This window comes from Homo sapiens, chromosome X (genome assembly GCF_000001405.40).
Source record: "Homo sapiens chromosome X, GRCh38.p14 Primary Assembly".
Taxonomy (NCBI): Eukaryota; Metazoa; Chordata; class Mammalia; order Primates; family Hominidae; genus Homo; species Homo sapiens.
In genome coordinates, this window is record NC_000023.11 from 143,489,187 (window position 1) to 143,507,228 (window position 18,042).

The following is an 18,042-nucleotide window of genomic DNA, read 5'->3' on the forward strand; positions in this document are numbered from 1 at the left end:
TTTTTTTAAATCAATAACACACAAGCTGGCTGTAGATTGGCTGAGGATACTGACAATTGGCCTTCTAGACTCACGGGAAGACGACTTTCCAGTGGGGCAAATCTGTGAAATTAACAGGCAAACAAAGCCCCACAAATATAAAATTAAGTTCAGATTCTCCTCCAAATAATGATCTGAAGGCCCATTACCATGATCATTCCCAAAGTGGTATTATACAGATTTTTTTCTATTAAGGACAAAATAGTTGAAAATAGGTTTGGGGAACACTGTTACTTCATAATATAAGAATGTTTGTCTTGTCCTCAACATAGTCTCTCTCCATAACCCCTCATACAATCCTGGGCCTATGATAGGCTTACTTTCTTTCCCTGCCTCCATAATGAGATTAAATCACCTTGTACTTATGTATAAATTTGGCCAGTAACCAAAACTGGTGCACCTCTGCTATGGCATGCCACCCAGATTCCCGTTTCAGGATCAATATACGTATTTTCTCTGACTGCTAGACTGCTAGCTACTGACAGCCCAGAACTGAGTCCCTCCATGTAAATTACCCTTCCCTTTCCAAGGTCACACCTCCTCCATGAGGGCAGCCCAAATATAGTGACTGTTTCATGTGTGAATGCAAGTTCATTGCCTCATTTGAAGATACCTCAAAGGTATCTTCCCAGCTCAAGGGCTTTCTATGATCTCAGCTGCAGGATCCACTTCTACTGCACGGCAGTTTAACATCACCCTCTGCCCAGCCCTGCTTCTCTGTCTTCCTTAAAAGTGTCATTCCAAAGTAGACCTCCTCCTCCACATAAATCTTTGTCTTAGGATATGTCTCCTGCAAGACCAGCCTTCAAGAAATCTTAGTAGAATATGTAGCGATGGTCAAAGGTCATAGCAAAACGAGTAAAGCCTTGATTGTGGAATTGCAGGAATTAACCAGCAAATGAAATAGTATTGAAGGTGAATATTGGGAAAGGTCATCTTAGCACAGACTCAGATTGTTTGTTTTTGTTTCTCTTGATTGGGACTTCTTGGAGTCCTGTACTGAGAAGGATTATGAGGCCAAGTCAGTGATTGGAAGAGGAAATATTCTACAATCAGCCAATTATTGTCTGTCTTGGATAAGAGATGGGGTGAGAAAGAACTAATGTCAGGCAATTACTAGTTTAATAGTAATTATTCAATAAGTGTTATTCTGAAAATGAATATTTTTGTTGTCTCATTTTTTTTAATTGAGGAAAAATTCACATGACATACAATGAACTACAAATTTTGTTAAAGTACACATTCAGTAGAATTAAGTATATTTCCGATGCTCATCCATGACTTCTATCTAGTTCCAAGACATTTCATCACCCCAAAAGGAAACTATAGAAATTAAGCAGCCACTCTGCATTCCCTTTTGCCCTTTTCCCCCAACTCCTGGAAACCACTAATCTGCTTTTGCTTTTATGAAATTAGCTTTTTTGGATTGTTATGTTTTCTTGGAGAATTGGCCACTTTATCACTATATCATAATACCCCTCTTTATTCCTGATAATTTCCCTTACTGTAAAGTCCACTTTGTTTGTAATTAATATAGCAGCTCCAGCTTTCTTTTGATAGTGTTAGCATGGCATATCTTTCTCTGCCCCTTTACTTTTAATTTGTATATATTTTTGTATTTAAAGTGGTTTTATAGTAGACAACACATAATTGGGTCTTGTTTTTAATCTGATAGTCTTTGTCTTTAATTGGTGTATTTAGACGATTGACATTTAAAGTGAGTGTTGACATAGTTGGAATAATACTTAAGAGTTATGTTACTTTTTTCTTCATTGCCCTTATTATTTGTTTCTCTTTTTGTTTTCTACTATTTTTTGCTTCCTGTGGTTTTCGTTGAGCATAGTTCTATTTTGTCTCGTCGCTTAGCCTATTAATTACAGTTGACTCATGAACAACACAGGTTTGAACTGCTTGGGTCCACTTATACACAGATATTTTTTTAATAAATATAGTAGGTTCTCCATATCAACAGCTACTGCATCTGCAATCAAATGTAGAATGAAAATACAGGACACAAAATCTCTGTATATAGACGACCAACATTTTGTATCTGCAGGTTCCACAGGGCTGACTACATGACTTGAGTATGTGTGAATTTTTGTATCCGTGGGGTTCTTGGAACAAATTCCTTCAATTATTGTTTGTCTGAGAAAGTCTATTTCTCCTTCACTTTTGAAGGATAATTTTACAGGATACAATATTGAGATTGGTGTTTATTCTCCCTCAGCACAAAATATTTCACTTCGCTCTTTTCTTGCTTTCATGGTCTCTGAGGAGAGGTCCCAAGTAATTCTTATTTTTTCTCTGCTACAGGGAGGCTGCTCCCCTTTCCCTCTGGTTTCTTTGAAGATTTTTTTTCATCATGTTGATATTCTGCACAATATGATAACCTTAAATGTAGAGTTTTGGGGAGCATTTATCCTCCTTGGTGTTTTGTGAGCTTCCTGGATCAGTGGTTTGGTTTCTGACATTAATTTGAGAAAAATTCTCAGTAATTATTTCTTCAAATATTCATTTTCTTCCCTTTTCTCTTTCTTTTCCTTCTGCTATTCCCATTATCCATATGCTACACATTTTGTAGCATCCCACAGTTATTGGATTTTCTGTTCTGGCTTTTGCTTACCTTTTTTTTTCTTTGTTTTTCAATTTTGAAAGCTTATATTGATATAACCTCAAGCTTACTGATTCATTCCTTAGCCAAGTGCAGTCTACTAATGAGCCCATTAAAAAGCATTCTTTATTTCCATTACATTGTTTTCAGTCTCTAACATTTATTTTTTATTCCTTCTTAGAATTTCTACTTCTGTGCTTTACATTACCCACTTGTTCTTGCAAGTTGTCTATTTTCAGTTAGAATTCTTAGTATTAATCATAGTTATTTTAAGTTGATGGTCTGATAAATCTAGCATTTTTGTCATATCTGATTCTGGTTCTGATTTTTGCTTTGTCTCTTCTTGCACTTTTTGCCTTTTAGTGTGTGTTGCGATTTTTCTTATAAGCTGGCCATGATGCAGAATACAACATCAACATACAAAAATCAGTAGCATTTTATATATACCAACAGTGAGCAATCTAAAAAAAAAAGAAAAAAGAAGAAAGCAATCCCATTAATAATAGCTACCATATATATAAAATGTCTTTTATATTTAACCAAAGAAGTGAGAAGATCTATACAAGCAATACTATAAAACACTAATAAAATTAAAGAGGACACCAAAAAATGGAAATATAATCCCTGTTCATGGATTGGAAAATGACTACTGTTAAAATGACATTACTACCAAAAGCGGTTTACAGATTCAATGTAATTCTTATCCAAATAACAATGACATTCTTCACAGAAAAAGAAAACAAAATCCTAAAATTTATATGAAGTCACAAAAATTACAGATTCAATGTAATTCTTATCCAAATAACAATGACATTCTTCACAGAAAAAGAAAACAAAATCCTAAAATTTATATGAAGTCACAAAAATCCCTGAATAGACAAAGTAATATTGACCAAAAAGAAAAAAAAGCAGGAGCCATCACACTGCCTGACTTCAAAATTTATTACAAAGGTATAGTAACCAAATCAGCATAGTACTGGCATTAAAAACAGATACACACACACATATAAAATTCTTCATGATTTGACACTTTCATCAATATTTAATTCCCTATAACTATTTCTGTCTTGAAGTCTATTTTGTCTAATGTTAGTATAAGAACCCAAAACTGTCTATTGGTTACTGTTTGCAAGAGATAGATTTTTCTACCCTTTGTATTTCAACTTATTTGTGTCTTCGAATCTAAGTTAAATCTTTTGTAAACAGCATATATTTGGATCGTTTTTAAAAATTCATTCTGCCAGTCTCGGCCTTTTAAATCAAGAGGTTAATCCATTTACATGTAATGCAATCACTGATAAGAAAGGTCTTACTTTTGCCATTTTGCTAATTGTTTTCTATGTCTTTTTATGATTAATTGATTTTGTCCTAGCGTAGCATGTTTATTCCTTTCTTTTTTATTCTTTGACATAATATTTTAGTTTTTCTTCTTTAGTGGTTACCATAAGGATTACAATTAACATTTTAATTTTATAATAAAGGTGAATTATACCAATGTACTTGCCATAGTATGCAAAAATTTCAGCTCCTATGCGGCTCCATCCCCCCTTATGTTCTTATGGTCATGAATTATATCTTTATATTGTGTGCTCATTAGCTTAGGTTTATAATTATTTTATGCATTTGTCTTTTAAATCATATAAAAAGGAAGATGAGATGAGTTACCAACTGACTACACAATACTGCTAACTTTTGTATTTACATACATAGTTAACCTTTATCATTGCCTGTTTTTTATTTATTCATATGGCTTTTACTTATGGTCTAGTGACTTTTCATTTCAGTCTGGAAGACTCTTTTTCACTTTTTTTTTTATAGGGTAGGCCTACAAGTAATGAACCCCCTTAGGTTTTGTTTATCTGGAAATATATTTATTTCTATTTCATTTTTGAATGATGATTTGGACCCATATGGAATTCTTCATTGACAAATTACTTTTTCTCTCAGCACTTTAAACATATCATCCTAATACCTTCTGAATCCTGTGGTTTCTGAAAAGAAATCAGATAGTAATCTTATTGAACATCTCTTGGACTTGACAAGTTGCTCTTTTTTTTGCTGTTTCAAAGATTCTCTCCTTGCTATTGGCTTTGGACAATTTGACTATAATTTGTCTCATTGTGGATATCTTTGAGTTCATCCTGCTTCAAGTTTATTAAGCTTCTTGGAATTAGAGATTCATGTCTTTCATCAAATTCAAGGATAGTCAAATATTTTTTTCTGTTTTTTTTCTTTCTCTTCTTCTGAAATTTTCATTATGCAATATGTTTGATAGAGTTCCATGGGTCTCTTAGGCTCTCTTTATGTTTTCATTATTTTCTTTTGCTTATTCTCAGTCTGAATATTCACAATTAATATAATTTCAAGTTCACTGACTTCTTTTTCTTCTGCCTGCTTATATCTGCTGTTAACCCCTCTAGTAAATTTTTATTTCAGTTTTTGTACTTTTTACCTCCAGAATTAATATTGAGTTGATTTTTGTAATTTGTATCTCTTTACTAATGTATATTTTGAGACACTTTTCTCCTAGTTTCTTGAAGTTTCTTATGTGTTTTAAATGTAACAATTGGAGCATATTTAAGACAGTTGATGTAAAATCTTTGTCTAAAAGTCAAATATCTGAACTTCCTCACAAGCAGTTTGTATTTTCCTTCTTTGTGAAAGAACCATGCTTTCTTATTAGTTTTCAATGTCTCATGATTTTTGTTGAAAACTAGACATTTTTAATATTATAACGTGTCAACTATGACAGTGATTCTTCTCCATCTATGGGGTTTATAGTACCTGTTTCAAATTATTATTGTTTGCTTGTCCACTAACTTTTCTAAACTCTTTTTATAAAGTGTGACCTTTTTAATGTGTGGCCACTCAACTCTGTGTTCTGTTAGCTTAGTGGTCAGCTTTGACAGTTTTGACATTGTTCCCTTAAGTGCCTGGAGCCAACAGAACATAAAAAGTAAAAAAAAAAAAAAAAAAAAAATTCTCAGTCTTTGCAAATTGGCTTTTTATTGTGCCATTCTTTCAGCAATTTCCCAAGGTGTTTACAACTCTACCTTAGAGTTCACTTCTGACTTGTGCAGAGACTGGAGCTAGCCAAAGGTAAATGCATAGGGTCTTCTCAGGCATTTTTGAGCATTTGTCTCACCTTTGGCATGAATGTAGCTTTCTCCTTTATTCAATAGATGTGGAAGCTTTAAAAGCCCTTTATTCTCACATGCATCTCCTTTCTCATCTCTTCCCTCCCAGAAGTTTGGTCTGTCTATGCTTATACCTAGTGTTGTCACTTTTCCTAGGCTTCAAGAATCAGTACGTTTTTAACTGCTTTTAGGAAAAGCAACTCAGTAAGCTGTCTCAGCCCTGGAAATGGTCAAAGTTAGACAAAATAAAAGAAAACCATCATGCAAGTCTTTACAGACACTTCCAGACAGCCTGCAACTGACAACCACATTGTTTGAGAACAAAATCTCTATTGCTTCCTCTGGCACCAGCAATCTGCCCCAGGAGTGAAGTGCACATTGCTGTTCTTACTACTACTGCAGACCTGTAGTGTGTGTGATGGTAGACAGCCAATTTAAAATACCATAGCACTTTCTCACTACAAAGCAGCAGCTTCTTTCTTCACCAAATTTCCCCCTGCTTGTTGGAATTTTTAACTGGATTCCATAGTTCAATACGATTGATTCTGATTTAAGTTTTTGCCAGTTATTGGTTGCTTTTTAGGGTGAGGGGATGAGAAATGGTGCTCATAATTTGCCTACTCGGCAATCTTTCCTGATGTCACTTCATCTTTATCTGGAGGTGCATAATGTCATGGCTATTTTTTCTTTCCTTTTTGATTTTCTGGATGAGTAGCTCTAGCTGGTATTAAACTCTTCATTATGTGAGAAAGATGACTAGGAAAAGGGAGCATCTACTCTCTAGGCGTGAATACATTTGGGGGTCTGTAAATCTGTAGTAGTCATACAGCCACTTTGCAGGTACACCTGATTCTTTCAGCTATAACTTCGTAACATGTCCTTTGCCCACGATAATTTTTTAATGAGAAACGAAACAATTCCCATTCTTTTTTGCACAATTAACATGCAAGAAGGAATTTTCTAGCCATTGCTTCCATTAGCAATTAAGAAATGGAGAAGAATTTTTTTTATTTCATTTAATCCTCAGAGGGAAAAACAATTAGAACTAGTAGCCTAATTTATACAGATAAGAAAATCAGCTCTCAGATATTTGCTCAAAGATGTGATCCCAAGTGTGCCAGACTCAATAGGTTTAGTTGGTAAATATGGTACTACGATATCCTATGTGAAACATATCTTTACTTAAATAGAGAATATTACTGAAAAGAAAGAAACTGAAGGGAGAAGAAAACGTTTAGATTTTTCAGCATCTTTTCTTGTGTAGGGTTTGAGATCCAAAGGCTAAATATCCTCTACGTCTATTTTGATCTTCCTTGTGTTTGCAGTTAAGTTTATGTAGAAGTAATACATTGGGGCCCTAAAATGTTATCACAGGTCATTAGGAACAGACAATGAAAATTTAATACCATTATTATTGATATAAATTTTAAAAAATACTTGATTTAATACTAGCTCTTCAAGTGTTGAGTGCTGACTGAATTAACCGTCTTGTTTTTCCTAAAAAACTTAAAAGAAAGCTTTCATTTTCCCAAACACCAATAAAAAAGCATTTGTTTTTCCAACTAAACACCAAATAACAAACAAAACACCAAAAAGTATACAGGAAATAAATAATATTCCTTAAATTTAAAAATATCTTTTTCAGAGAAATGATCAAAAGCAAATTAATCCCACATATGAGAGCATGCAGACTGGAAGACATACAACCCTTGTGATGACTAAAGCTTCCCCTGTGTTCTATGTCATAAGTTGGAGAGCATGCCACAAGTTGACCCAGGTGCACATTGTTAATTTACAGAACTAGTGCTATATTAGTTTATAGTCATGTCTATCTGTTTGTGGTAACTGTTCTCAACCCAGCTGCTACATTCTACAATAGAATTTTTCAAATGCATGTACATTCTTCTAAGCAATATCAGAAATGCATTAGTTAAAGTGTTGTTAGATGTCAGTGCAGTAAAAGGTAAATTGCTGCAACGCAGGCCCTAAAACTAAAGTATTTGTATTAGTCTGTTCTCACACTGCTATAAAGTAATACCCAAGACTGGGTAATTTATAAACAAAGGAGGTTTAATTGACTCACAGTTCCATATGGCTGGGGAGGGCTCAGACAACTTAACAATCATGGATGAAGGTGAAGGGGAATCAAGGACATTCTTCACATGGTAGCAGGAGAGAGATGAATCAGAAAAGGGGGAAGAGACCCTTATAAAATTACCAGATCTCATGAGAACTTACTCACTATCACCAGAATAGCATAAGGAACCACCCCCAAGATTCGATCACCTCCCACCAGGTCTCTCCCTTAACATGTGGGAATTACAATTTCGATTACAATTCAACACAAGATTTTGGTGATTATGCAGAGCCGGATCATATTATTCTGCCCTAGCCCCTCCCATATCTCATCCTGCTCACATTTCAAAACACAATTATCTCTTCCCAATACCCCCACAAAGTCTTCACTTATTTCAGCATTAATCCAAAAGTCCAAGTCTCTTCCACCTATAAACTTGTAAAATCAAAAGCAAGTTAGTTACTTCCAAGATATAATGAGGGTGCAGGCATTGGATAAATGCACCTGTTCAAAATGGGACAAATGGGTCAAAACAAAGGGGCTACAGCCCCATGCAAGTCCAAAATCCAGCGAGGCAGTCATTAAATCTTAAAGCTCTGAAATGATCTCCTTAGTCCATGTCTCATATCCTGGGCAAGCTGATGCAAGAGGTGGGCTCCCACAGTCTTGGGCAGCTCCATTCATGTGGCTTTGCAGGGTACAGCCCCCTCCCAGCAGCTTTCATAGGTTGGTATTGAGTGCCTGCAGCTTTTCCAGGCACAAGGTGCAAGCTGTTGATGGATCCACCATTCTGAAGTCTGGAAGATGGTGGCCTTCTTCTCACAGCTCCACCAGGAAGTGCCCCAGTGGGGAATCTGTGTGGGGGCTCCAACCCCACTTTTCTTTTCTGTACTTCCCTAGCAGAGGTTCTCCATGAGGGCTCCACCCCTGCAGCAGACTTCTGCCTGGACATCCAGGAGTTTCCATACATCTTCTGAAATCAAGGTAGACGTTCCCAAGCCTCAATTGTTGACTTCTGTGCACTGGAAGGACCAACACCACATGGAAGCTGCCAAGGCTTGGGACTTGCATCCTCTGAAGCAACAGCCTGAGCTGTATATTGGCCCCTTTTTGTCACAGCTAGAATGCAAGGCCCCAAGTCCTGAGAGTGCACCAAGCAGCAAGGCCCTGGGCCCGGCCCAGGAAACCATTTTTTTTTTTCTCCTAGGCTTCCAGCCCTTTGATGGGAGGGGCTACCATGAAAACCTCTGACATGCCGTGGAGATCTTTTCCCCATTTTCTTGGAGATTAAAGTTCAGCTCCTTGTTATTTATGCAAATTTTTGCAGCTGGCTTGAATTTCTCCCCAGAAAATGGGTTTTTCTTTTCTATTGCATCATCTGGCTGCTAATTTTCAAACTTTTATTCTCTGCTTCCCTTTTAAACTTAAGTTCCAATGTCACATTATCTGTCTCAAGTTCAAAGTTCCACAGGTCTGTAGGGCAGGGGCACAATGTTGCCAGTGTCTTTGCTAAAGCATAGCAAGACTGACCTTTGCTCCAGTTCCCAATAAGTTTTTCATCTGTATCTGAGACCACCTCAGCCTGGACTTCATTATCCATGTCACTATCAGTATTTTGGTCAACACAATTCAACAGGTGTCTAGGAAGTTCCAAACTTTTCCACATCTTCCTGTCTTCTGAGTCCTTCAAACTATTCCAACCTCTGCCTGTTCCAAAGTCACTTCCACATTTTTGGGTATCTTTATAGCAGTGCCTCACTCTCTGCAGTACCGATTTACTGTATTAGTTCATTCTCACACTGCTATAAAGAAACACCTGAAATTGGGTAATTTGTAAAGAAAGGATGTCTAATTGACTCACAATTCCACATGGCTGGGGAGTCTTAAGGAAACTTAACAATTACGGCAGAAGGTGAAGAGGAAGCAATGACATTCTTCACATGGTTGCAGGAGAGAGAAGAATGAGGAAAGAGGGAAGAGTCCCTTATAAAACTATCAGATCTTGTGAGAACTCACTCGCTATCACCAGAACAACATGGGGAAATGTCCCCCATGATCCAATTAACTCCCATGAGGTCCCTCTCCCAACATGTGGGTATTACAATTTGGATTACAATTCAAGATGAGATGTGGGTGGGAACACAGAACCAAACCATGTTAATATGCAGTCATGGTATCTTTGAATTTATGTAACAGAAAATGTGCATTTACTCTGAGCTTTCTGAGGAAAAGTCAAGAGATAATATTTATAGTGAGTGGATATGAATTCAACCTCTTTATTCAAGACTGCCTGGGTTTGAATCTCTATTTCCCTGCTTGCTATGTGGCCTCCATTCCTCATTCCCTAAGGATGCTGATAGCCAAACTACCAGAATCATAAGCTGCTTGTGAGGGTTAAATTACCTCATGCATATGAAGTGCTTGATATTTAGTGAATGCTAAATAAATGTTAGAGATAATTATTTGAAAATGTTAAATATTATTAGTATTATTAATAGTGTTATTCACATTTAGTAAAGCATTTCAATGCAAAGGAATATTCTTCCTTTATTGTGCATTATTTTATTTAATTTTTTTTGAGACAGGGTCTCACTCTGTTACCCAGTTGGAGTGCAGTGGCACAATCTTGGCTCACTGCAACCTCCGCCCTTTGGGCTCAATTTTCCTGCCTCAGCCTCCCAAGTAGCTGAGACCACAGGCACACACCACCATGCCTGGCTATTTTTTTTTTTTTTTTTTTTTGGATTTTTGGTAGAGATTGGGTTTTGCCATGTTGCCCAGGCTGCTCTTGAACTCCTGGCCTCACCAATATGACCACCCCAGTCCCCCAAAGTGTTGGAATTACAGGTGTGAGCCACTGCGCCCACCCAAATGTGCACTGATTTAAAGTTTACTAAAGTAAAATTATCTTTGGATATCTTTTAAAAATTAAGCTGTTGCTCAAGGAACTTAAAATAGAGCTACAATTTGACCCAGTAATCCCCTTACTGGATGTATACTCAAAGGAAAATACATCATTATATCAAAAGACACATGCACATGTGTGCTCACCACCAAACTATTCACAGTAGCAAATGCATGGAGTCAATCTAGGTGCCCATCAATAGCTGGATTGGATAAATAAAATGTGGTACATATACACCACGGAATTATATGCAGCCATAAAAAACAATGGAATATGTCCTTTGCAACAACATGGATGGAGTTGGAGGCCATAATCTTAAGTGAATTAATGTAGAAACAGAAAACCAAATACCAGATGTTCTCGTTTATTAACAGTAGCTAAATATTGAGCACAAATGGACATAAATGTAGAAGCAATAGACACTGTAAGCTGCAAGACGGGGGAGGGAGGGAAGAGAGCATGTGTGAAAAAACTACCTATTGGGTACTAGAATCACTTCTTGAGTGCAATATATTCATGAAACAAACCTGCATGTGTACCCCCGTATCTAAAATAAAACTCACGAAAAAAATTAAGGTTGTGTAAGATGAAAATAATAATGTAATTCAGATAATTATATCTACTGTCTATGCATAGAAGTTTTTATTTTTAGTAGATATCAGCCTCAACTTTTTTTAGAGTAGATATCAGCCTCAACATTCTATTAAAATTTCAGCTAGGGAGATTCATTCCATTATCTTGGATACTTTGGATATATTTGCACTTAGATTAATGTGATACATAGACCCAAACATTTAGTGATTAAATCTGAATTCATGGAATTAGATAATTGGACATCACCTTTAAAGGGTGTTTCTTTAACAAGCTCAAGGTTATATTTTTAGTTATAACCACAGCTGGGGCTAGAACATTTTATGAGTCACTATCAGTCTTTTTTTTCATGACCATGCTACACTTTACTTTCCACGCTTGTGCCATCATTCAGCAAATATTTACTAATTGCCTATTGTGTGACAGGCTCCGTGCTATTTCCAGATGATACCACAGCAAACAAGGTCAAGTCTGAACTTCCAGGAAATTAACAGTCAAGCTACCACACATCCTTGCCACTGTTCAAGCTTTTAAATAATATAACTCTTATTTTCCAAGTGATATCAAGCTTCAAAAACACAACAACTTTCTGCTTTACGCCAGGGAAATATAGTAGCAAGTATTCAACATTTTGATATAAAGAGTGACAGGCATGGTGAGATATTTGCACCCACAGGAAGAGCTGTAGGGGGCAAGGCCCTCTGAGGACTCACTAAAAATCACTGACAAAAGGCAGATTGATAGCAGAAGAGGTATACGGATTTATTTAATGGTTGTACATGTGAGCCTGCAGAATGAAGACCCAAAGATACAGGGGAAATTGTGCATTTTATGCCTAGTTTTAAGGAAGAAGTATGGACAGAGGTGCAGAAATAGGGTTGGACAAAAAGGCTATAAACTAATACTAATGAACTGAATGGGGAAACACAGAAAGGCCTGTATGTCTAGATTATTCTTGGCTTCTTTGAGCAGTATTCTTCCTTCTGGGTGTGGGGCAGGGACCCCTCTGAAATGGGGGCCTTCTGACCTACAGTCAAATAAGGTAGATCAGACAATTTCTTTATGGTCAGTTTTTACACAGAAAGGTGGAGTGAAAATTAGAGTAATATTTTTAGGTTTTATTGCTGCCTTTGGGGAAAATATGTTTTGGTTTCTATGACACACCTTAGGGAAGAAGGATCCTAGTTTCTATAGCTAGCCTTGGGGGAGAATGAGACTGAGAGACAGGAGGGTGGGAGAAGAGTAGAGAAAGACTTTTGCTCCTGAGTTCTTCATTTTGGGGTATTGTTTTCTGAGCTCCAAAAGAGCAAAATTACAGTTGATCATTTTGTAAACAGCATTTCCAGGACAAACACATCCACATCAACTGCCTAAGGGAGTTTATGCCACTTTCCCCTAAGTTCCCTACTGTGGTCCTACTAATCATAGGTATGACACTCAAAAAGTGTAAGTCTGGCCTGATTCCACATGACACCATATCAGAGAGTTGAAGAAAGACAGTGTGATCTCTCCTGAGGCTTTCGCTTCTCTGAGTTCAGTGTTCTTAATATATCGTCCATTTGTTTCACCAGATCCGTTCTCCACTCTTCTTCACTCTGCTTTGTGCTGCTAAAAATCTGACTCATATAAACCATGGACTGTATTAGTAAGTGTCACGCACGTCCATGTGAAGAGACCACCAAACAGGCTTTGTGTGAGCAATAAAGCTTTTTAATCACCTGGGTGCAGGTGGGCTGAGTCCGAAAAGAGAGTCAGCAAAGGGAGATAGGGGTGGGGCTGTTTTACAGGATTTGGGTAGGTAATGGAAAGTTACAGTCAAAGGGGGTCGTTCTCTGGCAGGCAGGGGCGGGGTCACAAGGTGCTCAGTGGGGGAGCTTCTGAGTCAGAAAAAGGAATTTCACAAGGTAATGTCATCAGTTAAGGCAGGAACGGGCCATTTTCACTTCTTTTGTGATTCTTCACTTGCTTCAGGCCATCTAGATGTATACCTGCAGGTCACAGGGGATATGATGGCTTAGCCTGGGCTCAGAGGCCTGAGATTCCTGTCTTCTTATATTAATAAGAAAAATAACATAAAATAGTGTTGAAGTGTTGGGGCAGTGAAAATTTTTGGGGGGTGGTATGGAGAGATAATGGGCGATGTTTCTCAGGGCTGCTTCGAGCGGGATTAGGGGCGGTATGGGAACCTAGAGTGAGAGAGATTAAGCTGAAGGAAGATTTTGTGGTAAGGGGCGATATTGTGGGGTTATTAGAAGGAGCATTTGTTGTATAGAATGATTGGTGATGGCCTGGATACGTTTTGGATGAGTTGAGAAACTAAATGGAAGACACAAGGTCCGAATAAGAGAAGGAGAAAAACAGGTATTAAAGGACTAAGAATTGGGAGGACCCAGGACATCCAATTAGAAAGTGTCCAAGGGGGTTCAGCATAATTACTTGCTTGGTTGGCAAATTTTTGGGCTCTATCCTTGAGTTTTTTTATGTTGTTATATACCAGGCCAGATTAATTTAGGTAAAAACAACACTCTTCATTTAAAAATATAGAGTTCTCTTTTTTTTTAGCAGTGAGTAAGTCTAGGCCTCAGCGATTGTGGAGGAAAGAGAAATGCAAAGCCAGCAATTGTTTGTTAAAGAAGGATTAGAAATGGCTAGGTGAGAGTGAGTGACATTGATAGTGTGGTGGAGATAGCTGGGGAAAGGTAGAGGGTGGCATAAGAACGGGAACGAGAATAAGAGTGAGTATAAAAGTAAAGAAAAGGACTTTATCAGGATGAAAATATTGGAGGGTGCCCTGCCAGCAAAGACTATTTATTTACTTTAAGAGGGAGTTAAGAGTGGCCATTTGGGGATAGCACCAGGAGATATTAGCTGTGATGGCTTGGAGAAACAGTGTAAACTGGCAGTGTAAACAAGAGCAGGGCATTTATGAGTAGTTGAGCATGGTGAATAGGAGTATGACTAGACAGAAGATAGCAGGGATGACAAGTTTTTGGGGTGCAGTCCAAGTTGGGCTGGTGTCTGGAATGAGACTGGGGCCTAATAAAAAGGAGCATTCATACAGGAGCTTAAATGGGCTGTACCCTGTAGCATTCCGAGGATAGGCCTGAATTCTGAGAAGGGCAAGTGGTAAAAGTACTGTCCAGTCCTTTTTAAGTTGGAGGCTGAGCTTACTGAGGTGTGTCTTTAAAAGACCATGAGTCTGTTCTACTTTTCCTGAAGATTGAGGACGGTAAGGGGTATGAAGGTTCCACTGAATACCAAGAGCCTAAGAAACTGCTTGGGTGATTTGACTAGTAAAGGCCGGTCTGTTATTGGACTGTATAGAGGTGGGAAGGCCAAACTGAGGAATTATGTCTGACAGAGGGGAAGAAATGACTGCAGTGGACTTCTCAGACCCTGTGGGAAAGGGCTTTACCCATCCAGTGAAAGTGTCTACCTAGACCAAGAGGTATTTTAGTTTCCTGACTTGAGGCATGTGAGTAAAATTAATTTGCCAGTCCTGGGCAGGGCCAAATCCCTGAGCTTGATGAGTAGGGAAGGGAGGGGGCCTGAATAATCCCTGAGGAGTAGTAGAATAGCAGATGGAACACTGAGAAGTGATTTATTTGAGGATAGATTTCCATGATGGAAAGGAAATGAGAGGTTCTAAGACACGGGCTAGCGGCTTGTAACCTACATGGAAGAGGTTATGAAATGACGACAGAATAGAATGGGCCTGTGAGGCTGGAAGGAGCTGTTTTCCTTGGTCCAAGAACCATTTGCCTTGTGTGGGAAGAGATTGATAGGTGGAAGTTTCAGTGGGGGAGTAGGTGGGAGTGACCGATGAGGAGAAAAACTGGCCGTGAGGGACAGAAGTTGGAATGCTAGCTGCTTTTTTAGTTACCTTATCAGCATAAGCATTGCCCTGAGTCCCACTGAAACAGACTGTTTCCCATCAGAACGATACCTGATACAGTTATTTTCGTCATTTGCCCCACAACACCATTTCGAGTCTCAACATCACTCAGATTTCTTCCTTCCTCAAGTGACTATTTAATTTGTCTGTCTTCCTCTTAAAGGTCCACAACTGGAACTACTTCTTCAAGTGTAGTCTGATCAACACAGGACAGAAAGAGAAAGTCACCTCTTGCTTTAGTTACATGTCCATGGAATTTACTCAAAGATACTAGTAGCTTCTGAGCTAGTATTTTCACATTCTTAGGTCACAATCTATTCGCTGTCAATTGAAAACCTCTAAGTAGATTTTTTGATACTACTGTTAAACCAAATGTCTCTCGTTCTATTCACAAGATGTTAGTTTTGGGATTCCAAGATCACAGAATGCCAATGCTATCTAGTAAATTTTTCTTGTCTGATTAAAATCATAGTTCAAGTGGTCCACAGTCTAGCCTGTTTAAACTCTTACTGCATTTAAATCTTGTTATTAGAAAAATCTTCTAATCTTTGTGTCATTTTCAGACTTAATACATATATTGTCAACATCTGTGTTCTAACCCATTGTCATGAATCTGTCAAAGAGAGGGCTGAGAATATATGGATGACAAATAAGTACATAAAAATATATTTAACATCATTAGCCATCAGGAAAAATCCAATTAAGACTACAATTAGATGTCAGTACACAACTTTCAGAAAGGCTAAGCTTTTTAAAAGTGACAAAACCAAATGCTGATGTAGATGCAAAGAAACTGGATCATGCATGCATTGCTGGTGGGAATGTAAATGATACAGCCACATTAGAAAGTTGGAATTTTCTTACACAACCAAATAGGGCAACTACCATACTACCCATAATCTGGGTAATTATTACAGAGAAATCCTGCAGGGGAATGATTATAACAGCTTTATTTGTAATAGCCAAAAACTAGAAACAGCCCAGATGTCCTTCACCTGGCAGAAAGATTAAGCAAACTGGTACATTTATACAATGTAATATCACACTCAGGAATATAAAAGAATAAACTATTGATATATGCAACAACATGAATGAACCCTCAAATACTTATGATGAGTGAAAAAAACAATAATTGATATGGTTTGGATGTTTGTCCCCTCCAAATTTTATTTTGAAATGTAATTCCCAATGTTGGAGGTGTCTGCTTTCCCTTCACCTGCCATAACTGTAAGCTTCCTGAGACCATAACCAGAAGCAGATGCTGGCACCAATTCCCGTACAGCCTACAGAATTGTGAGCCAATTAAACCTCTTTTCTTTATGCATTACTCAACTTCAGGTATTTCTTTATAGCAAGGCAAGAACAGACTAACACGCCAATTCCAAAAGGTTACATACTGAAAGATTCACGTAACACTCTGAAAATGACAAAATTATATAGGTGGGGAATAGTGGTGGCTAGGGGTTATGAACTTGAGAGGAAGGTTGGCAGTGGCTATTAAAGGACAACATGAGAGATCTTTTGTGTTGATGAAACTCTTCTGTACTCTAATTATGGTCGTTGTCCCTTGAATCTAGGCATATGATAAAACTGAATATAACTAAACACACACCCATGAGCACATGTAAAACTGGTGAACTCTGGATAGATTGAGTGTATTAATGTCAGTTTTCTGGTTGCGATGTTGCACTATGCATTTGCAAGGTCTTATCATGTGAGGAAACTGAGTAAAAGATACATTGGTATCTCTTCATATTACTTCTTACAATGGCATGCTAACAGATATATTAAAAGGCATTCAACATCATTAATCATAAGAGAAATGCCTATTAAAACCACTATATCACTTCATGCTTGTTAAGATGGCTATTTTCAAAAAGACAATAAGTAACAAATGTTGATGAGGGTGTGGAGAAAAAAAGAACCCCAGTACACTGTTGGTGGAAACGTAGATTGGTATAACCATAATGTAAAACAATATGGAGGTATCTAAAAGAATTAACAAGTAACTACCACATGGCCCAGCAATCCTTCTTCTGGGTAGACACCCAAATGAGATGAAATCACAGCCTCATATAGATATATGCACTCTCATGTTCATTGTAGCATTATTCCCAATAGCCAAGATATGGAAACAGCTTAAAATGTGCATCAATGGATAAATGGATTTTAAAATTTGGTGTGTGTGTGTGTGTGTGTGTGTGTGTGTGTGTGTGTAGTTATACATAGTTATACAGAACTAAATATTATTCAGCCTTACAGTAAAGAGGTCTTGGCATTTGCCACAACATGGATGAACCTGGAGGACATCACGATAAGTTAATTAATCCAGACAGAAAGAAAAAGATTCGATGATCTCATATGTGGACTATATAAATAAGGGGCTCAAGTAGACAGAGGTAGAGAATGAAACATTGGAGGTGGGAGAAGAAGTGGGGAGAAGTAGGTCAAAGGACACAAAATAGCAGATATGTAGGATGTAAAAGTATAGAGATCTAATGTACAGGGGGACTAAACCTGATGAAATTGTGTCATGAATTTTTGTTAAATAAGTAGATTTTAGCTGCTATTGTCACACACTTAAAAACTAAGAAGAGAGATATGCTAATCTGCTTCACCATAGTAACCATTTTACTTTATGTATCCTATAATATCATGTTGTAAACCTCAAATAGACACAATAAGTTTTTTTAAAAAATAAAAATAAAAAATGCATCACACTTCTATATACTAACATTGAACATGTGGAAATCAAAATTAAACACATGATACCATTTACAGTCACTC